Raw genomic sequence first — 21,398 nt, 5'->3', positions numbered from 1 at the left:
TCACTGCAACCTCCGCTTCCTGAGTTCAAGTGATTATCCTGCCTCAGACTCCCGAGTAGCTGGGATTACAGGCATGTGCCACCATGCCCGGTTAATTTTTGTATTTTTAGTAGAGACTGGGTTTCACCATGTTGGTCAGGCTGGTCTCGAACTCCTGACCTTGTGATCCACCCGCCTCAGCCTCCCAAAGTGCTGGGATTACAGGCATCAGCCACCGTGCCTGGAGTAAGGGCTCTCTTTATCAGAAGGGCATTACGCTTGACCTCCAAATTTGGCTGACAATCTACTGATAAGATGCATAGTCTTTGTGTTGCGCTGGTATTTTGACATGTTTGCTGGGTCCTGAGCCACATCCTGGAAGGCTAACATAATTTCTGGATCCTGCATGGCTGCAAGAATCTCTGGATCACTAAGAATTTCATTGAGTCCGGGGATTCTGGCCATTCCAGCCATGCCCCCTCCCATTCCAGACATTCTTCTGGGACAATTACCAGGCACTCCCGCAGGAAAGCCACTTGGAAAAGAGCAGTACTGAGCTCCTGACTGTCTTCTGGCTTCTTCCTCCCTCTGGGCTCTCTCATGCTCTTCTTGAGCCTTCTTAACTCTTTCTATTCTTTCTTTGATCTCTTGTTCTTCACGTTTTCGCTCATACTTTCTCCGATGTTCTGCAATTTTCTGTGCCCCAGGTTGAACTTCTTTCAGCATTGCACTAGCATCTTCATCATAATCCAATTGAAGGGAAAGTCTGTGTGCTTTCTCTCGACACTTGTAAGGCTGAGCTGAATCAGGAATTATTTCTTTTCTTTTCTTTTCTTTTCTTTTTTTTTTTTGAGATGGAGTCTCGCTCTGTCACCCAGGCTGGAGTGCAGTGGCACGATCTTAGCTCACTGCAAACTCCACCTCCCGGGTTCAAGCAATTCTCTGCCTCAGCCTCCCGAGTAGCTGGGATTACAGGCGCCTGCCACCACACCCAGCTAATTTTTGTATTATTAGTAGAGACGGGGTTTCACCATCTTGGCCGGGCTGGTCTTGAACTCCTGACCTCGTGATCCACCTGCCTCGCCCTCCCAGTGCTGGGATTACAGGCGTGAGCCACCGTGCCTGGCACAGTCTCGGATGGCAGCATTTGGCTTCTATAATTTGACGAAGACACCAGCCGTCTTGGCATACAAAATGGCCAAGTGAGGATTCAGCTTGATGGCATCTGGGAACAAGTCAATGGCTGTCTGCAGTTCACCATCATTTAGGGCTTCAATAGCAGCCACTTTCTCATTTGCCTGATCCATCATCTCCTCTGTTATCTCTGCATTCTCATCTCCCATTTCTTGAGGGGCATCAGTGCCTGGTTCAACCACACCTTCATTATCAATTTCTAGATCACTTTCCTCGCTTGATGGTTAGTCTGCCTTTAAGTCTTCCTTCACCTTCTTACTATCAGGTTTTTCTTCCTTGGTATTTTCTTCTGATTTAGCTTTCTGAGTAGCAGGTGGTACTTTACCCGCCATGCTCTCCACCCTCTCCCTTAGGAAATGCATTTTCTCGGCGTGCGGAACGCTCGGATCCTGCTTACACGTTTTCACAAAGGCCCGAAGCTCGTTCACTTTGCGGGGGTCCATGGTCGGGAGGCGGTGGGCAAGGCTGAGGGGCTGCGGCCCGGTTCCAGGCCCAGGCGCTGGCTCGGTGTGACCGTGCAGAAGGCGACTTTTGGTAATTATTATTAGGCGTTTTCCCTCGTCCAGACCTGAGACCTGAATTCAGCCCCCATGGGACAGAGTGAGGCACCATCGACCTCATGGAGATATTTCAGGGCTGACATTATATGATGCACATGAACATGGATTGCGAATGAAGGTAAGGTAAAGACTAGAGAAAGCTATCTCCAGATTGCTTTTCAAATATGCCCAGACCTTGATTCACATTTTAGGGGATAAAAGCAGGGTTCTTTTTTTCTTTTCCTCACATTCTATGATCCAATTAAATAGGTATCCAAAGTTGTATGAATAATCATTGTTTCCTGTAGTTTTAAAACTGTATTTTCATTTTGGTTCTTTTATTTATTTATTTATTTATTTTTTGGAGACAAGGTCTCACTCTGTCGCCCAGGCTGGAGTGCAGCGGTATGATCTCAGCTCACTGCAACCTCTGCCTCCTGGGTTCAAGTGATTCTCCTGCCTCAGCCTCTTGAGTAGCTGGGATTACAAGCGCGGGCCACTAGGTTCAAATAATTTTTGTATTTTTAGTAGAGATGGGATTTCACCATGTTGACCAGGCTGGTTTCGAACTCCTGGCCTCAAGCGATCCACCTGCCTCGGCCTTCCAAAGGCTGGGATTACAGGCATGAGCCACCGCGCCTGGCCCTGTATTTTCATTTTGATTAGGGCAAAAATGCAACCTTTAAATCTTTTTTCCAACTTTTATTTTAGATTCAAGGGGTACAGGTGCAGGTGTGTAAGCTGGACATATCATGTGATGCCGAGCTTTGGAGTACAAATGGTTCCTTCCCCCAAGTGCTGAGCACAGTACCCTATAGTTTTTCAACCCTTGCCCTTCTCCCTCCCCCATCTAGAAGTCCCCAGTGTCTATTGTTCCCATCTTTATGTCCATAATTACCCAATGTCTAGCTCCCACTTATAAGTGAGAAGATGCAACCGGCCAGGTGCGGTGGCTCACGCCTGTAATCCCAGCACTTTGGGAGGCCGAGGCAGGTGGATCACCTGAGGTCGGGAGTTCGAGACCAGCCTGACCAACATGGAGAAACCCCGTCTCTATTAAAAATACAAAATTAGCCGGGCGTGGTGGTGCGTGCCTGTAATCCCAGCTACTTGGGAGGCTGAGGCAGGAGAATCACTTGAACCTGGGAGGCCGAGGTTGCCGTGACCCAAGATGGCGCCATTGCACTCCAGCCTGGGCAACAAGAGCAAAACTCCATCTCAAAAAAAAGTGAAATAATGCATATTTGGTTTGTTTTCGGTTCCTGTATTAATTCACTTAGGATAATGGCCTCCAGCTGCATCCAGGTTGCTGCAAAGGACACGACACCTTTAAATCTTTATTTTCCCTGGTTTGGCTTTGGAAACAACAGGTTACAGCCTTTCTGAAGCCCCATCCCATTCTTCATTCTTTCCCAGTTTATTAACCCACAGGTGACACCAATGGCCTCTGAGAGCCTCGACCCTTGAACCCTGAGCAGACGCCCAGGAACCTGTGCCCGGCACATTCGCAGGGCAGAGCGAATTCACATCAAGCTCCCAAACATACATTGTTGTTGTTGTTGTTGTTGTGTTATGTAATTTCAGTTATTATTTAATTTACAAGCTGTGAGCACACAGAGCCACTCTGGTTCTGCCCTTGGATCGCCGCTCGCGCGCTGCCGAGGCCCACCTGGGCATCCCAAAGTGCTGGGATTACAGGCGTGAGCCAACGCCCCCCGCCGGAATAGCTTTTTTTTTTGAGACGTAGTCTCGCTTTTTCGCCCAGGCTGGAGTGCAGTGGCACGATCTCGGCTCACTGCAAGCTCCGCCTACCAGGTTCATGCCGTTCTCCTGCCTCAGCCTCCCGAGTAGCTGGGACTACAGGCGCCCGCCACCACGCCCGGCTAATTTTTTGTATTTTTAGTAGAGACGGGGTTTCACTATGTTAGCCAGGATGGTCTCGATCTCCTGACCTTGTGATCCGCCCACCTCGGCCTCCCAAAGTGCTGGGATTACAGGCGTGAGCCACTGCGCCCGGCCCGGAATTGCTCTTAGGAGTCACACCTCCTGAGTCTCCTGCTCTCTCCAGCCTTGCGTTGCCTTTCTGGCCTCAAGGCCCCCGCCTTGGAAAAAGTCCGCGTCCCCACGCTGCCTCTGCAAGCCTGGGTGCGAGCGAGGTCCCCCTTCGCTTTGCTTTCCTGTTACGCGCGGTCGCCCTCTAGTGACAACAAGGAAGCACTGCTACGTTCGGACGCGAAGCCTTCCACCGCTGCGGCTCTGGGCTTTTGGTCTGCGCAGGAGAGCTCCGCGGCCCCACAGTGCACCTCATCCGGGCCCTGGTGGGGAGCATCATTGGGTGCCCTTGGCTCTTCCGCAACACGAGTCCTGGGGCCGACTCCCCAGAGGAAGGCTGGTCTGATGCAAACACTGGATCATGTTGACTGAGCCCCCAGCGGCTCCAGAGCAGAAGACTTGTCTGGAAGTCCTGCGGGCTTAGGAAACCCCATCTTTTGTTGGCAGGTGGGAAAAGTGTTCAGAGATGGGGCCGGGTGCGGTGGCTCACGCCTGTAATCCCAGCACTTTGGGAAGCCGAGGCGGGCAGATCACTTAAGGCCAGGAGTTCGAGACCAGCCTGACAAACATGGCAAATCTTCGTCTCTATTAAAAATACAAAAATTAGCCCGGTTTAATGGTGCACGCCTGTAATACCAACTACTTGGGAGGCTGAAGCAGGAGAATCGTTTGAACCCAGAAGGTGGAGGTTGCCGTGAACCGAGATCGCGCCACTGCACTCCAGCCTGGGCAACAGAGCCAGATTCCGTCTCAAAAACAAAAACAAAAGAAAACTGTTCAGGGAGACAAGGATATCAGAGGGGGCTCCACCAGTGACTACGAGGCCTGCCCCCTGCCCTCCCTGAGGGCACCTCCATTATAGACCCTGAAGACAGGGAGAGCAGAACTCCTAGGTCCCAGAACAGTCTCCTCCGAGCTAGTCAGAACTACCTTGCCCCCCACCACCCTTCCCACAGGCACAGCCACAAGAAGCAAGCACCTTCTGCACCCAGCAAACCCGCAAGCATCCAGGCAGGGGAGAGACTTCCAAGGGGAAGGAGGTTTTGGTGGCCAAAACAGACCCTGAGTTAGCTTAGTGGCCAGAGAAACTGAGGGTCTGCAGAAGGCCAGGTGGGCCTGGTCAGCGCACCTGAGTCGTCACAGTCTTTGCCGAGGTCACCCCTTCAACTTTTGAAATACATTTTCTCCATCATCATTGTGAAGATCTCTCAAAACTGACAATAGCTTCAATGCCTGTTTTAGTTGATGTGTTTTGCCTGCAGACATGTGAAAGTTTTCTGCCTGAATATCACAGTGTGCCATTCTCAAGTGCAATGATCAGACTAGCTGTCATGCTGGCTGAGTCAGGGTATTTAACTCTGGTATTAAATCTGGATAAAAGTCACCCATCATCTCAGTTTGGGGCTCTGAAGAATCAGGTGGAAAACAGCCCTCCCATGGCCTGTGAAAGCGTCCTGGGCAAAAATGCAGTGGAATCAATAAGCCAGCTGGTGGAGCTCCCGCCTGGAACCAGGGCTCCTTATGTTGTTGTTCATGAGTGGGCTTCAGGTTGTGACCCCCTGAAACTGAAATGTATAGGTATTTACTAGGGAGAGGGTTCCCAACTTTTACTGGAGTTTCCAAGGAATCTATATACAAACCAATTTGGAACTACTTCCCTAGAAACTCCCATTACCCACAAGTGAAATAATAAACCGATTTTTCCTGAAGTGTAAAAGGTTCATCACGAAACTAGAATTGTTAGCAATGAAAGCAAAGCTTTAAACTTGACAATGGTCGATCTCCCAAGCTGGGCCTTGAAATTCCCATCAGAGTTATATATGTGGATTTATAAAGTGCAGTCTGAGCCCCCGTGATCACAAAATGGCAAATGATTTTGTCCTCGGGGGCCTGGTGTCTCTGATGGGTACTCAGTAGTAGGAGTGTCTATTCCCTTAGGGAGGAGGGTGGACCTCAGTGGATCCATGGACTTGGTCCCAAGATCGTTAGAGATGTTAGATTTGTCCCTTAGAAGATCACTTCTATATATCGGAGGCAGTGACTCATGCCTGTAATCCCAGTACTTTGGGAGGCTGAGGTGGGCGCATCACTTGAGCTCAGGAGCTCGCGACTAGCCTGGGCAACTTCGCAAAACCCGTCTCTAAAAAAAAAAAAAAAAAAAAAAAATTAGCCTGGTGTAGTAGCACACACCTGTAATCGCAGCTGCTCAGGAGGCTGAGGCATGAGAACCATTTGAACCTGGGAGGCGGGGATTGTAGTTAGCAGAGATCGAGCCACTGCACTCCAGCCTGGGCAACAGAGTGAGACTCTGTCTCAAAAAAAAAAAAAAAAAGACGGTCACATCTACGGAAGGGTTTTGTTCACTTCAGCCAGAGCTAAGTGATGGCTGACAATTTCCACTTGTCTGACGCCCTCATGATGTTTTTTTGTTTGTTTGTTTGTTTGTTTGTTTTTTGAGATGGGGTCTCGCTCTGTTGCCCAGGCTGGAGTGCAGTGGCACAATCTCAGCTCACTTTAACCTCCGCCTCCTGGGTTCAAGCGATTCTTCTCCCTCAGCCTCCTGAGTAGCTGGGATTACAGGTGCCTGCCACCACGCCTGGCTAATTTTTGTATTTTTAATAGAGGTGGGGTTCTATCATGTTGCCCAGGCTGTTCTCGAACTCCTGAGCTCAAGTGATCCGCCCACCTCAGCCTCCCAAAGTGCTGGGATTACAGACAAGAGCCACTGCGTCCGGCTTCAAGATGTTTATGATTAGGACCCAAACTGGTCCAACTTTCTTTCTCATTCTCCCATTCATCTGACCCTGATCCTCCTCTACTCTTCACCCTTAACATATTTATATCTGCTTAGAATTCAGCAAAGCGAAACTCTGCATCCTGAAAACCTGAGCAGGCATTTTGGACCACATGTTCATGGCAACATAATCTGGATCATATTCACTGGGTCTGTGGTAGGGAACGTTCTCACTTTGCATTAAGAAAAGGACAACCAGATACCAACTTTTAGAAAATGAAATTAAAAATTTTAGCAAAGCATTTAAACTATTTTCTTTTTTTTTTTTTTTTTGAGATGGAGTCTCGCTCTGTCACCCAGGCTGGAGTGCAGTGGCGCAATGTCGGCTCACTGCAACGTCCACCTCCCAGGTTCAAGCAATTCTCCTGCCTCAGCCTCCTGAGTAGCTGGGACTGCAGGCGTGCACCACGTCCAGCTAATTTTTTCGTATTTTTAGTAGATACGAGGTTTCACCATGTTGGTCAGGCTGGTCTCGAACTCCTAATCTCAAATGGTCCACCTGCCTCGGCCTCCCAAAGTGCTGGGATTACAGGCATGAACCACCATGCCCGGCCTCAACTATTTTCTGAAGTAGATTTCCCCTGAAGCCAGAGGCTCCTCATCGGACATTTATTCTTCTCTAACTGACGAATGCGGCTTTTACTCGGGAGAAAAGCCTCTTTATGGGCTGTGACCATCTTCCTCCAGCCACCTGACTCCTCGTATTTGACAGGCTGGTGATCATGTTATGCTTGTACCACAAAGGACTGTGCAGATATCTGACCGGATATTCTCGCTGCTTGAAAAGCACATGTCTGATTCAACCCCGCGTGGTGCTGTCATGAAACCCTCCTCCCCAGCCAAGCCATATGCATGGATGTTAGTGTTGATGTGTTGTAGTGTCGTTGTGTGCCCCCAATCTCCCTTAAAGGCCATGGTTATTGCCAGAGTTATTAACCTGGGCCAAGGAGGGTCTGTCCTCACAACTCCCACTTTCAGGGGAATGAGGGAATTTCAGGCTTTTTCCGGGCCACAGTTGATTTGCACCCTTGAGGGTGGTCCCAACAGGTACAGAAGAGCTTGGCACAAAATGCCCATGGATAGCAAGTCCTGGCTGGGTTGTTCCCCCTGCCATTGCCAGTTTTGGGTTAATAGGGGCACTGAGGGCTGGATGTGTGGCGGGAGGTGGAGTGTAACCCTGAGCCCCTAGAGAAAAGGGACACGTGGTTTGGATTAAGGTCCAAAGGAGGATCTGGCCTTGAAGTGTGCTGGTTTTGGGGCCTGCAGGATGGAGTGACTGTGATTTGGGAGCAGGGTGTGGGGAATCCCTGGATTCTAGGGCTGCTCCCTTTTGGGGTGTGTGAGTGTCCCTGGAGAGGCACGGTGGTCATGTGAGACCCCTCCTCTGTTTCACACAGGCAAGTCCTTGAGTGTTCAGAATCCTCCCAATATCCGACAGCTCTCAGGAAGCATACTCTCCTGTCCTGAGGTGGGCAGAGGAGATGGAGAGAACAGGTGAAGGCAGGTCACAGAAGCAAGACAGGACTGACACGCACCAGGGCCTGGCTGGGCAGTGGACCTCAGACTGAGGACAGGCAGAGGTGGCCAGGCCAGTTCAGTCCTGATAGAGCCAACTCCAGGGCCCGAGAGACCATCAGGCAAAACTGACCCCCCAGAGGGCTGTGGCGCTGCTGAGGCTTTGCGTCTCCCCTTTAATCCTGAGCAGCCCAGGCTGCTCGCTGCCTCCAGCCCTGCTATCTACCCTGACATCCAGCTTTCCTGCAGTGGCCTGACTTCCCTGGGAGGACCAATCTCTTAGATCCAGGTGGAACCAGAATCTGGTGGGTTTTAAATGAATTCAGTCTCTTTGTCCTCATCGAGCTCCACACAGTCGGGCCAAAGTGGGTAGTCAGGGTCTTGTGAGGAGACCCCCACATCTTCCTCTGCAGTCTAGCAACCCATTGGGGCCCAGGCACAGGCTCTAGGAGAGGGGCTGTTCACCAGGGCTGCGCATTCAGCAGAGCAGGCTGTGGGCTGCTTAGCCCCAGCGGGTGCCATTCACCCAGTGCAGATGTGAATGAGATCCCTGGAGTGGAGCAACTCATCATCCCTGCTCCTGACAGCAGTGACAAAAACACCCCGCTGATGGGTAGAGAGAGTCTGGTTTAAAATTAGCTCTTTCACTTTCCTATTGAGTCATTACCCCCCCCCCAAAAAAAGAGAGATTTTCTGCTTCCTCCTCTGAAGAGGGCAGTTGGACTTTTTATCCTGAAAATGGAAGTGTGCCTAGCCCCAGGGGAGAGTTGAGTGTTTTGTTTTTAAAAGCCTAGACTCATAAAATAATAATAATACAGGACGTTTGGAATCAAGGAAGCTTCCATGGGCTGAGAGCTAAGAATAGCCCAAGGATGGAGGAGGCTGATGGGACAGGTGTTCCCAGAGGGTCTGGGGAGGTGGCAGGCCCCCAGACTGGGGAGGGTGTGAGTGAAGGATGCCTGTAGGGGGTGGCCCTGAGAGTGTGGGCAGGTGCAATGGCTGTCAATGCCACATAAAGGGCAAGGGGATCTACATCCTAAACAGTGAAAGACCAGTGCCCGGAGACTACATCTACATCAGGAAGAAGAAGCAGCAAAATTCTGACCCACAGCCCAAGAGTGAGCATCCTTTTTCAGGACATTAATAAGCCCTGGGGTCCTTGTTTACTCTCTTGGGAGGAGGGGGTCACAGAATGCACACATAGTGAAGTTCTCATGTATTTTTACAAATGAGGGCTGGAACTGGATACAGTGTAACTTGGGGAAATAAGGAAGGTGACATTTCTCATACCTGAGAGTTGAGAAGCACATTACTACTCATCACTGACTTTTAGGAGCCCTGTCCACCAAAGGGACAACAGTAATGCAGAAATAGGAGAGGAAGTTGATAGGATTCAACCAACAAATAGTTCATCTCCACAGCTGTTTCCTGAGGTTCGGTGGGGTTGGACTTTAAAGAAAGTGAGATCAGGAGCCAGGTGTGGTGGCTCACGCCTGTTATCCCAGCCCTTGGGAGGCTGAGGCAGACAGATCACTTGAGGTCAGGAGTTCAAGACCAGTCTGGCCAACATGATGAAATCTCATCTCTACTAAAAATACAAAAATTAGCCGGGCATGGTGGCACACACCTGTACTCCCAGCTACTCAGGTGGGTGAGGCAGAAGAATCGCTTGAACCCAGGAGGTGGAGGTTGCAGTGAGCTGAGATCATGCCACTGCACTCCAGCTTGGGCGACGAGAGCAAAACTCCATCTCAAAAAGAAAGTGAGATCAGGGACATCAGGGATAGCACACTGCAGACACGATGGTTGAGCTAGGAGATCTCCCTTTAAAAACTCTCCCCTGGCTGGGCAGGTTGGACAATACCTGTAATCCCAGCATTTTGGGAGGTCAAGGTGGGAGGTTCGTTTGGAGGCCAGGAATTTGAGACCAGCCTGGGCAACATGACCAAGACCCTGTCTCTTAAATTTTTTTAAAAAAACTAGCCAGGCACTGTGCTATGTCCCTGCAGTCCCAGCTACTCAGGAGGCTGAGGCAAAAGGATTTCTTCAGCCCAGGAGATGAAGGCTGCATTTATTTTGATTGCACCACTGAGCTATGATCACACCACTGCACTCTAGCCAAAGTGACAGAGCAAGACCCTGTCTCTTAGACAAAAATTTAAAAATAAATTTTAAAACTTCCTTAAAAATCTCTTGCTTAAAAAACTAAGCACATGGGCTGGGCACAGTGGCTCACGCCTATAATCCCAACACTTTGAGAGGCCGAGGCAGGTGGATCACCTGAGGTCAGGAGTTCAAGACCAGCCTGGCCAACATGGTGAAACCCCTCTCTACTAAAATTACAAAAATTAGTTGGGAGTGGTAGCACACACCCGTAACCCCAGCTACTCGGGAGGCTGAGGTGGGAGAATCACTTGAACCTGGGAGGCAGAGGTTGCAGTGAGCTGAGATCATGCCACTGCACTCCAGCCTGGGTGATACAGTGAGACTCTGTCTCAAAAAAAAAAAAACAAACAAGGCCAGGCGCCGTGGCTCACACCTGTAATCTCAGCACTTTGAGAGGCCAAGGTGGGCAGATCACTTGAGGTCAGGAGTTCAAGACCAGCCTGGCCAACATGGTGAAACCCCGCCTCTACCAATAATACAAAAATTAGCCAGGCGTGGTGTCATGTGCCTGTAGTCCCAGCTACTTGGGAGGCTGAGGCAGGAGACTCGCTTGAACCCAGGAGGTGGAGGTTGCAGTGAGATGAGATCACGCCACTGCACTCCAGCCTGTGTGACAGAGCGAGACTCCATTTCAAAAACAACAAAACAAAACAAAACAAACAAAAAAGCCAAAGCAGATGGTCACCAAATCACATGTATATCCAAATACAAGATCATTCATATAAGGTGGGGGAGATACTGCAGCACGGCCTCTCCTTCTACCTGCAGGGAGTTTTCTGAAGGGAAGAAAGAGCCATGATTAGGCAGAACAGGAACTGGAGAAATCACAATAGATGAGGGGAACCTATGGTGAGGCAGTAGCACTAAGACTGCGGGAGAATAGTAAACTCTAGACCAAGCAGGCAGGATCCGGTCTAAGAGGCAAGGTGGAGTAGACGGTTTTCAATGGCAGGTTTTCACAACAGGCTAATGGATTCAGCTTTAAATGAGAGGGAAAAAGGGAAGGGAATGGCTAGGAACCATGTTGGGACAGACAACTGGGCCAAGCTTCAGGTGAGACTGACCTAAGGAAAGTCTGGCAGGAAATGGAGTCCAGGGCCTGGGCAGACTGGCCCTATGCTCAGGGGTTAGACAGGGAAGCTCCTGTGTGTTGAGTGTATTCACCAGAATTCATGTGTTGGAAATTTGGTCCCCAATGTGGCACTGTTGGGAGGTGAGGTTAGTAAGAGGTGACTAGATCATTAAGTGAAATCAATGCCTCTCTTGACAGCATAAATGGGTAAATTATTGCACTCACTTGCCCTTCCCCTTTGCTGCCATGTTATGATGCAACATGAAAGCCCTTACCAGAAGCTGCTGCCATGCCCTTGGACTTCCCAGTCTTTAGAACTATAAGAAATCACTTTCTTTTCTTTTCCTTTTTTTCATTTTTTATTTTTTTGAGACCAAGTCTCGTTCTGTTGCCCAGGCTTGAGTGCAGTGGTGTGATCTTGGCTCACTGCAACCTCTGCCTCCTGGGTTCAAGTGATTCTCCTGCATCAGCCCCCTGAGTAGCTGGGATTACAAGACATGTGCCACGACACCAGCTAATTTTTGTATCTTTGGTAGAGATGGGGTTTCACCATATTGGCCAGGCTGGTCCTGAACTCCTGACCTCAAGTGATCTGTCTGCCTTGGCCTCCCAAATTGCTGGGATTATAGGCATGAACCATTGCACCTGGCCTTTTCTTTTCTTTGTGAATTACTCAGTCTCAGAATACCTGGCAGGTATTCTGCTATAGCAACAGAAAATGGACTAAGACAGAAACTGAGGAGAGACTCCCAGCCACCTGCACATTAGTGGTGAAGGACCCCTGATACTTCCCAGGCCAGCTCTCCCTCCCATATTGGTTTAGGGTTTCAGTGTTAGGAGCCTGGCAGTGGGTGGCATGGGGCAGGCATGAGTCCCTTGCATCTCAGGGAATCAGAATATCTGGTGTCTCTCTATCTTGGGCAGTGCTAGAGAAACTTGCCAAATTCTTGTATTTGGGAGACCTTATATTCTACTCTTTTCTCCACTCCTCCCCACTTTTCCCTGAAAATGATTTCTTCATGGCTTTTTTTCCTGATTATAGAAATAATTACCACCTTTGTCTTAAAACACACATGAACACATAATAGCTGTTAATATATTTGATTAGACTACAATTTTCTACATTTAGTCATGACTTTCTGGTGGTGTATTCTAGGCCTTTGATTAGATTTTTGCAAGGCCTGTTTGATTTGGGGGATACTTAGGCCTCAAGACTCTTGGACTAGCAAATCTCATTCATAATGGGCTGATTTAGTTCAGAGGGGAAGAAGATACTATTATCCTTAAATCTGGGACCTCTTCACCAAGGTGCTCCTGGGCACTTGTACCTCCTCCCTTTGCTACCCTCAGTCTCTGGTGACAGGAGTCCCACACAGCCTGGCAGGAAAAGTCTGTTACACACCTGTGATGCAAGGAAGTGCTTTTCCTGGTCTCACATATCCAAGCCCAGCCCTACTCCATTGCTCCCCCAGGTCTCCTGGTCCTTCTACCTGCTCCCATCTAGGTCTTTCCAAGTATTGAACCCCAGACTCGACAAAGTCAGCTAACGCTGGGGACACTAATGCAGAGGAGAGCTAGGTCTGCCCCCCATATCCCTGAGCCACAGCTGTCTATCCACACCATTACAATCCCACAAGTGCTGCATTGGACAGGAAAGGATTCTGGGGATGGAGCTTCTAAAAGGGAGGGTTTTGTTTTGTTTTGTTTTTTCTTTTGAGACGGAGTCTCACTCTGTCACCCAGGCTGGAGTGCAGTGCCACAATCTCAGCTCACTGCAAACTCCACCTCCCGGGTTCAAGCGATTCTCCTGCCTCAGCTTCCTGAGTGGCTGAGATTATAGGCGCCTGCCACCACGCCCAGCCAATTTTTGTATTTTTAGTAGAGACGGAGTTTCACCATGTTGGTCAGGCTGGTCTCAAACTCCTGATCTCATGATCCAGTTTTTTTGTGTGTGTGTTTTGTTTTTTTGTTTGTTTGTTTTTGAGACGGAGTTTCGCTCTTGTTGCCCAGGCTCAAGTGCAATGGCATAATCTCAGCTCACTGCAACCTCCGCCTCCTGGGTTCAAGTGATTCTCCTGCCCCAGCCTCCCAAGTAGCTGAGATTACAGGTGCGTGCCACCAAGCCTGGCTAATTTTTGTATTTTTAGTAGAGATGGGGTTTCACCATGTTGGTCAGGCTGGTCTCAAACTCCTGACCTCATGTTCCTTTTTTTTTTTTTTTTTTTGAGATGGAGTTTCCCTCTTGTTGCCCAGGCTGGAGTGCAATGGCGTGATCTCAGCTCACTGCAACCTCCACCTCAAGGGAGGGCCTTTGTTTCAACACACAGATGTCTCAGGGAGCTGTTTTCCTGCTGGCCATGGCTCTTCTCCAATTCTCCCGGGATAAGCTTGTGTGTATTCAGGTGGAATGTTTTCTCAGTCCCTGCCTTACCCACACTCTTGACCTAAAGCTACCTTTTGTTCCTCCCCTAGAGCTGCCTAGCTCTCTCTCCTCTGCCTCGCCCAGCTGCAGGTGGATCCTCCACTAAAATGAGGCTGCCTCGTCACTCCCATTGGATGGCTGATGTCTCAGAAAGTTACAGGGGATGGGGGTCAGGGGTGCGGTGTGGCTGAAGGAACTGGAAAGTGAGGCCTAGTCTGTTAGTAACGGGAGCAACATCTATACCTCTGCCCCAGCCCATGACCTGCATGGACTCAATCAGCGGGAGACTGGGGATGAAACATTCGGGGAACCAGGAGGACTAGGGGAGCATAAAGCAGCAAAAGGGGAGAAAAGATGTGTTTGGGAGCCGGAGCTGCCCAATGACATGCTGGCTTTCCCACTTAGGAGCCGTGCACCCCTACACTAGCTCCTCAACCTCTCTGAATCTCAGTTTCCTCACCTGTGAAGTAGGGATTTTAGTTATTATGAAGAGTAAATGGACCCAACAGCCAAATGTCATGCTTGAACCCTGATGGGAACCTGGTTGGAAAAAAAATTAGAAAAATTTAAATTTGGTCTCCAAAATATCACCTGGCTCGGCGTTATTGTTCATTTCTTTGGTGTGAGAATGGCGTTGTACTTATGGAAAACACGTGTATTCTTCGCAGATGCACGCTGAAATATTGAAGGGTGAGGCTTCACGAGGTCGGCAGCTCACACTCAGATGGTTCCATAACAACAGAGAGAATGTTTGCACAGAGGTGGAGAGAAGGACAAGAACGATGTGTGAAATGCTAACTGTTGAATCAAGGTGGAGGGCGTTCACGTGATCACCATTTATTCTTTCCATTTTTCTTAATGTTTAAAAATGTGTCAACCAAAGATTGAGGGGGGGAAGAGAGACCAGGTGTGTGAAGCACTCTGCACAATGCCCCATTCAGCATAATTTATTTAATAAATATTCACTAAGCTCCTGGCGGAGATGTCAGTCAAGAACCAGGGATGGCGTGTCAGATACTGATCTGGGGATGCAGTGAGGATTTCTAGGGGGCCAGAGACAAGCATTAAAGGGTGAACAACCATGTGCACGTGCTGACCACAGACTGTGGAGAATGCTAGGAAGACAGCTGACAGGTGAGAGACCAAGGTGGGGGCTTAGGCGGTGTGAGGGGATGTCACACTGGCTTGGGTACCCTCTGAGCCTCTGAGCAGGTGGAATGTGAGCTGGGGATGGGCTGTGCCAGGGAGCTGGCTGTGCGGAAACCCCTCTCCTTCCTCATCTGTGTCTCCAGGGCCCCTAGAGGGGCCCAAGATGCCACGGGGATGACATCAGCCAAGAACCAGGAGTGGGAATGTTTGCCTCCTCTCTGGGGAATTAAGCTGCAATTTAATTTATGCTTGTAGAACTCAGTCTGTTCGGACAGACCAGATACCATCAGCCACCCTTGACCAGTGAACCTCATGGTGTGGGGCAGGAAAAATGATGAGGATTCCTGCAGGGCCACCTCCTGGAACCAGCCAGTGATTTGGAACTGGCATTAGAGGAAATGTTAGTGGTATTTCATCCAGGCCCTGACAGTGTCCAAGACACTTCTCAGTAGCACAACTAACAAATGAAAAGATGTTCAGCTTCATTCATAGTTAAAGAAATGCAAGCTGGAATTCAATATTTTTGCCCATCAGATTGGTAAGGACTAAGAAGATTGATGATACGGAGCGATGGGGCGGCCACGGGAACAGCCCTCGCATCCTTTGTTTGTTGAGCCTCTTGTGGGTAATTTAGCAGTACCCATCACATTCAAAATTCTGACCACCCTTTGGCTCAGCAATTTCATTTTAATGATTCTATTCTGAAGATATTTCAGAGATGTGATTTTTAAAAACAATATATACAAGTATGCTCACTGAATTATATCTATATCATGTTCAGCATTACAGTAATTATGTCACCCAAATGGAAACAACTCAAACGTCCATCAGGAGACTTCTTAAATAAATTACATATAGGAAAACATTTAATATGAGTGAAGTTTTGGAAATAAAGATATTTATATATATAATAACAGTACAGGTTAGTGTATACATTTGTTTAAAAATCTTGAAGACTGCATACCAAAATGTTAATAACAGAAATCTCTGGAGCATAGAAAACAGGGGACCTTTCTTTTCTACAGTATGCACTTCTGTAATATCTATATTTTGTATTGCAGACATACATTGCTGTTGCAAGCAGAAAACAGGATTTTAAAGTGAGGGAAAGGGAGAAAAGGATGAAAGGAAGGATCACGGTAGATATTTGTTCTTTTTTGCCAGCCAACATCTGAACCCCCTTGAAACATTTGGGTAATTCACCTATCTTAGGATGTCTCAATTTAGAAGTTGTAAATGGCCTTCTGGTGCCAGGCTGCTGTGCTGTGTCACAGGAGGTATAGAGAGACTCCATCGAAGCCTGGCCCTCACCCCAAGACAGACGTGGAGCCCAGTGAGACTTGGGTTTTCGGCCACTTGCAATCAGTTCCTCCTTCCTTCCTTCCTTTTATCTACCTTCCCTTCCCTCCCCCTTCCCTTCCCCCTCCCCTTCACCTTCACCTTCACCTTCACCTTCACCTTACCCTTACCCTTACCCTCCCCTCCCCCTTCCCCTTCACCTCACCCTTCCCTTCCCCTTCCCCTTTGTCTTCCCCTTTCCTTCCCTCCTCTCCCCTTTACTCTCTTTCTCTCCTTCCTTTCTTTTTGTGAGACAGGATCTCACTCTGTTGCCCAGGCTGGAGTGCAGTGGCACAATCACAGCTCACTGCAGCCTCAAACTCCCAGGCTCAAACAATCCTCCCGCCTCAGCCTCTCTAGTAGCTGAGACCACAGGTGCATGCCACTGCACCCAGCTAACTTTTTGCTTTTTTAGTAAAGACAAAGTCTCCCTATGCTGCCCAGATTCAAACTCCTGGGCTCAAGTGATCCTCCTGCCTTGGCCTCCCAACGTGCTGGGATTACAGGTGTGAGTCACCATGCCTGACCCAGAGTCTTAAATGATAAGGCAAAAAGTGGAGGAGGTATGAGAAGGATACTCAGGGTCTCGTGAAATCCACAGAATTGAACAAACAAGCTTTAGGAAGGGCTGAGATCGGACAAACTCTGGGGCCCAGAGCAGGAGTTTCTGGGCTTTCTCTCTAGGGAGCTGCCCTACTAGGAGCTCTGACAACACTCGGCTCTGGGTCTCTCATATCTAGTGTCAAATTCCTGCAAAGAAGAACCTAAGCTCAGGAGAAAGATCTGGGCTTGAAGGTCACTGACGTATGGTGGGTGAGAAGCTCTGCAGCAATTTTCAAAGGAACAGCCAGGAAGGCAGAAGGAGAGCTGGTAGAGGTGGTGTCAGGAAGCCCACAGGCCACAGATGAGTGGGTTTTTGAGAGGAGGAAGAAATGATCATAATGTCAAAACCTGAGAGATAAAACGAGCACTGAAGAGCATCTGCAGGCCGGGCACAGTAACTCACACCTGTAAGCCCAGCACTTTGGGAGGCCGAGGCGAGAAGATGGCTTAAGGCCAGGAGTTCAAGACTAGCCTGGGCAACATAGCGAGACTCCTCCATCCTTATAATATATATAAAATATAACATATATATATATATATATCTTTTTTTTCCAAAAATGGAAAAAAAGCATTTGCTGGGTTTGGTGACTTGTACCCTTGCCAAGGAAAATTTTGGCAGACAGATGGGGGCAATTACCTTGTTAAAAAAGGTTGGTCATGGCCCGGTGTGGTGGCTCACGCCTGTAATCCCAGCACTTTGGGAGGTTGAAGCGGGCAGATCACCTGAGGTCAGGAGTTCAAGACCCTGTCTCTACTAAAAATACAAAAATTAAGCGGTTGTGATGGTGCACACCTATAATCCCAGCTACTTGGGAGGCTGAGGCACGAGAATTGCTTGAACCCAGGAGGCCATGGTTGTAGTGAGCCGAGATCACGCCACTGCACTCCAGCCTAGGTGACAGAACAAGACTCTCTTTCAAAAAAAAAAAAAAAGTTTGGCCACGACAAGGAAGAATAGAGAGGGTGTTAGCAGGAGGAGGGTACTGGGCCCAAAGAGGCATTTAAAACTTGAACATGTTGAGTGATGCCCTTGACTGATGAGGAATGAGCAGAAGCCTCGTAGTGGTGGAGAAGGACCCTTTGGTGAAGCTTTCCCAGGTGATTTTCTGCTAAAGTTTTGGCTTTCTCAAAACACTCTCATAGTAAGCAGATGTTATTGCTCTTTTGCCCTCTAGAAAGCCAACAAGCAAAATGCCTTGAGCATCCCAAAAAACTGTTGCTGTGACTTCTGCTCTTGACCTGTCCACTTTTGCTGTGACTGGGCCACTTCCACCTCTTGGGAGCCATTGCTTTGTGCTTTGTCTTCAGGATCCTACTGGTAAAGCCACGTTCCATCTTCTGTTACAACTCTTCAGAGAAATGCTTCAGGATCTTGATCCTACTCGTTTTAAATTTCCATTGAAAGTTCTGCTCTTGGCTGCAGCTGATCTGGACGCAATGGTTTTCCATAGAGTGGAAACTTTGCTCAACTTTAATTTTTCAGTCAGAAAAGTGTAAGCTGAACCAATTGAGACGTCTTTGGTGTTGGCTGTTGTTTGTGCTGTTAATCGTTGGTCCTCTTCATGAGGGCACAAATAAGATTAATTATTTTACTCAAAAATTGATGTGGATGGTCTGCCACTGAGGGCTTTATCCTCAACATTGTCTCATCCCTTCTCTTTTTTTTTTTTTTTGAGATGGAGTCTCCTTCTGTCACCCAGGCTGGAGTACAGTGGCACAATCTCGGCTCACTGCAAACTCTGCCTCCCGAGTTCAAGCAATTCTCCTGCCTCAGCCTCCCGAGTAGCTAGGATTACAGGCACCCACTACCACGCCCGGCTAATTTTTTGTATTTTCAGGCACCCGAGTAGCTGAGACTACAGGCGCATGCCACCATGCCAGCTAATTTTTTGTATTTTAGTAGAGACGGGGTTTCACTGTGTTGCCCAGGCTGGTCTTGAACTCTTGAGCTCAGTCAATCCGCCCACCTCGGCCTCCCAAAGTGCTGGGATTACAGGCGTGAGCTGCCGCGCCCAGCTTAATTTTTGCTTTTTTAGTAGAGACAGGATTTCAGCATGTTGGCCAGGCTGGTCTCGAACTCCTTACCTCAAGTGATCCACCTGCCTCGGCCTCCCAAAGTGCTGGGATTACAGGCTGAGCCACCACGCCTGGCCTCATCCCTTCTTAAAACGAGTTTTCCATTTGCAAACTGCTGGTTTCTTGGGGGCATTGTCCCCATGAGCTTTTCATAAAAATATCAATGATGTCACCATAAATGTGATGATTATTCTTGCTTCAAATTTAGCAGAATCCTTGTTGCTCTGACAGGAGCTCTTTTCAAACTGATGTCTTATCCTTCTTAGTGCCTCAAACTAGATCTTGTCGAGACATGTGATAACAAGTTAGTACAAATTTATTTTGGTGCCAAAAAATTTTCAAATCCATGCATAGTTTTTTTCATAGTATGAATTTTCCATGAACCTTTTGAAGACCGCTTGTATAGAAAAAAACAGTATATATAGGGTTTGGTGCTATCCAAAGTTTCAGGCATTCACTGGGAGGTCTTGGAACTATCCCAGTGGATAAGGGAGGACTACTATGCTAAAAACTATCCCTTGTTTAACTGAAATTCAAATTAAACTGAGTGGCCTGCATTTTATCTGCCAACCCTACCCTGGGGGCACTTAAAAATACCAGAGGCCAGGCGGGGCGCGGTGGCTCACGCCTGTAACCCCAGCACTTTGGGAGGCCGAGGCGGGCAGATCACGAGGTCAGGAGATCGAGACCATCCTGGCCAACATGGTGAAACCCCGTCTCTACTAAAAATACAAAAATTAGCCGGGCGTGGTGGGGTGGGTGCCTGTAGTCCCAGCTACTCACGAGGCTGAGGCAGGAGAATCGCTTGAACCTGGGAGGCGGAGATTGCAGTGAGCCGAGATCGGGCCACTGCACTCCAGCCTGGCGACAGAGCAAGACTCCGTCTCAAAAAAAAAAAAAAAAAGAAGAATTGCTTATCCACGCCCTGTTTCTTTTCTCTTAGCGTTACTCAGTGGGGGAGTCCTCCCAAGTATGATGGAGAGTCCTTTCGAAACCCTGCTGGATTGTCAGGACAACCAACTGGGCTACTTTTCCACAGGTCGCCCCAATTCCTTTGGATTCTGATTTCTCTGAGGTCCCAGGATCCAGACAGGCTTGGCCAATCCTTCCCCGCCCAAACTGTAACTCTCAAAACCAACACCCCGGCATAGGGCTGGAGGGGAAAATGGGTGAGGTCAGAGACAAAGAAGAGGGAAGGGTCAGGCGGGGCTCCGGGTTCCCTGCCACAAGCCTCCGCTGGTGTTCTGCTTTTCTCCCGAGAGCTCCCGCCCACCCTGCAACCCTCGCCTGGCCCCGCTGCCGTTCTCAGCTCCCTCCCAGTGCCTGGTGGAGGCCGGGGCTGTGTCCCGAAGGGGGTCGGGGCAGCAGAACCTCAGCCACAGCCAATCACAGCGGGGTCCTTCGGGGAGGGGCGTGGCCTGACAACTTCGGCGACGCGGCTGGACCAATCCGGACGGAGGAGAGCGAAGCTCCTCTGCACTGGGCCCAGGTGCGCTCCTCAGCGTCTCCGGGTGGCGGGGCGCGCGGGATGGAGGAGTCTTGGGAGGCTGCGCCCGGAGGCCAAGCCGGGGCAGAGCTCCCAATGGAGCCCGTGGGAAGCCTGGTCCCCACGCTGGAGCAGCCGCAGGTGCCCGCGAAGGTGCGACAACCTGAAGGTCCCGAAAGCAGCCCAAGTCCGGCCGGGGCCGTGGAGAAGGCGGCGGGCGCAGGCCTGGAGCCCTCGAGCAAGAAAAAGCCGCCTTCGCCTCGCCCCGGGTCCCCGCGCGTGCCGCCGCTCAGCCTGGGCTACGGGGTCTGCCCCGAGCCGCCGTCACCGGGCCCTGCCTTGGTCAAGCTGCCCCGGAATGGCGAGGCGCCCGGGGCTGAGCCTGCGCCCAGCGCCTGGGCGCCCATGGAGCTGCAGGTAGATGTGCGCGTGAAGCCCGTGGGCGCGGCCGGTGGCAGCAGCACGCCATCGCCCAGGCCCTCCACGCGCTTCCTCAAGGTGCCGGTGCCCGAGTCCCCTGCCTTCTCCCGCCACGCGGACCCGGCGCACCAGCTCCTGCTGCGCGCACCATCCCAGGGCGGCACGTGGGGCCGCCGCTCGCCGCTGGCTGCAGCCCGGACGGAGAGCGGCTGCGACGCAGAGGGCCGGGCCAGCCCCGCGGAAGGAAGCGCCGGCTCCCCGGGCTCCCCCACGTGCTGCCGCTGCAAGGAGCTGGGGCTGGAGAAGGAGGATGCGGCGCTGTTGCCCCGCGCGGGGTTGGACGGCGACGAGAAGCTGCCCCGGGCCGTAACGCTTACGGGTGAGTGCTCACCTGCGCCGGCAGCCGACGCCGCCAGGTCGGGTGGACGTAGCCGAAACCCCCACACCCGCCCAGCCCTGGACCGCTGGGCAGCTGACCGACTAAGGGACCCAGTTGGCCATCCCGATCCCCAACCCGATCTGGCCTCTCGGGCTTACAATCAATAACATTCCTGTCTACGTAACTGTAATTCACATTGTTGCCGTGTCTCACG

General features: G+C 50.1%; 1 protein-coding gene and 1 pseudogene across 4 annotated transcripts in view, besides 5 other annotated features; one reads left to right on the top strand and one right to left on the bottom strand.

Moving 5' to 3' along the window:
* ST13P17 (ST13, Hsp70 interacting protein pseudogene 17) lies at positions 220-1,698 on the bottom strand (annotated as a pseudogene).
* Positions 8,308-8,487: an enhancer, noted in NCBI's record as "active region_26763". NCBI's record gives its function as "activates an Ori minimal core promoter by ATAC-STARR-seq in GM12878 lymphoblastoid cells {active_cell/tissue: GM12878}" and the evidence as "EXISTENCE:reporter gene assay evidence [ECO:0000049][PMID:35858748]".
* Positions 9,048-9,097: an enhancer, noted in NCBI's record as "active region_26762". NCBI's record gives its function as "activates an Ori minimal core promoter by ATAC-STARR-seq in GM12878 lymphoblastoid cells {active_cell/tissue: GM12878}" and the evidence as "EXISTENCE:reporter gene assay evidence [ECO:0000049][PMID:35858748]".
* Positions 20,228-20,287: a silencer, noted in NCBI's record as "silent region_18697". NCBI's record gives its function as "represses an Ori minimal core promoter by ATAC-STARR-seq in GM12878 lymphoblastoid cells {active_cell/tissue: GM12878}" and the evidence as "EXISTENCE:reporter gene assay evidence [ECO:0000049][PMID:35858748]".
* The window catches only part of KLRG2 (killer cell lectin like receptor G2), a 56,576-nt gene continuing 55,574 nt past the window's right edge, over positions 20,397-21,398 (top strand). For all 4 annotated transcript variants that reach the window (XM_011516141.3, XM_005250311.4, NM_198508.4 and 1 more), the window contains exon 1: positions 20,397-21,184. In XM_011516141.3, the coding sequence (XP_011514443.1) occupies positions 20,428-21,184 (757 nt within the window). In that variant the 5' untranslated portion in view covers positions 20,397-20,427. The remainder of the gene's footprint in view (positions 21,185-21,398) is intronic.
* Positions 20,748-21,027: a silencer, noted in NCBI's record as "silent region_18696". NCBI's record gives its function as "represses an Ori minimal core promoter by ATAC-STARR-seq in GM12878 lymphoblastoid cells {active_cell/tissue: GM12878}" and the evidence as "EXISTENCE:reporter gene assay evidence [ECO:0000049][PMID:35858748]".
* Positions 21,158-21,237: an enhancer, noted in NCBI's record as "active region_26761". NCBI's record gives its function as "activates an Ori minimal core promoter by ATAC-STARR-seq in GM12878 lymphoblastoid cells {active_cell/tissue: GM12878}" and the evidence as "EXISTENCE:reporter gene assay evidence [ECO:0000049][PMID:35858748]".

This window comes from Homo sapiens, chromosome 7, assembly GCF_000001405.40.
Source record: "Homo sapiens chromosome 7, GRCh38.p14 Primary Assembly".
NCBI classification, from domain to species: Eukaryota; Metazoa; Chordata; class Mammalia; order Primates; family Hominidae; genus Homo; species Homo sapiens.
Note: the sequence above shows the minus strand (reverse complement) of the source record. Positions and strands in the feature narration are given on the sequence as shown.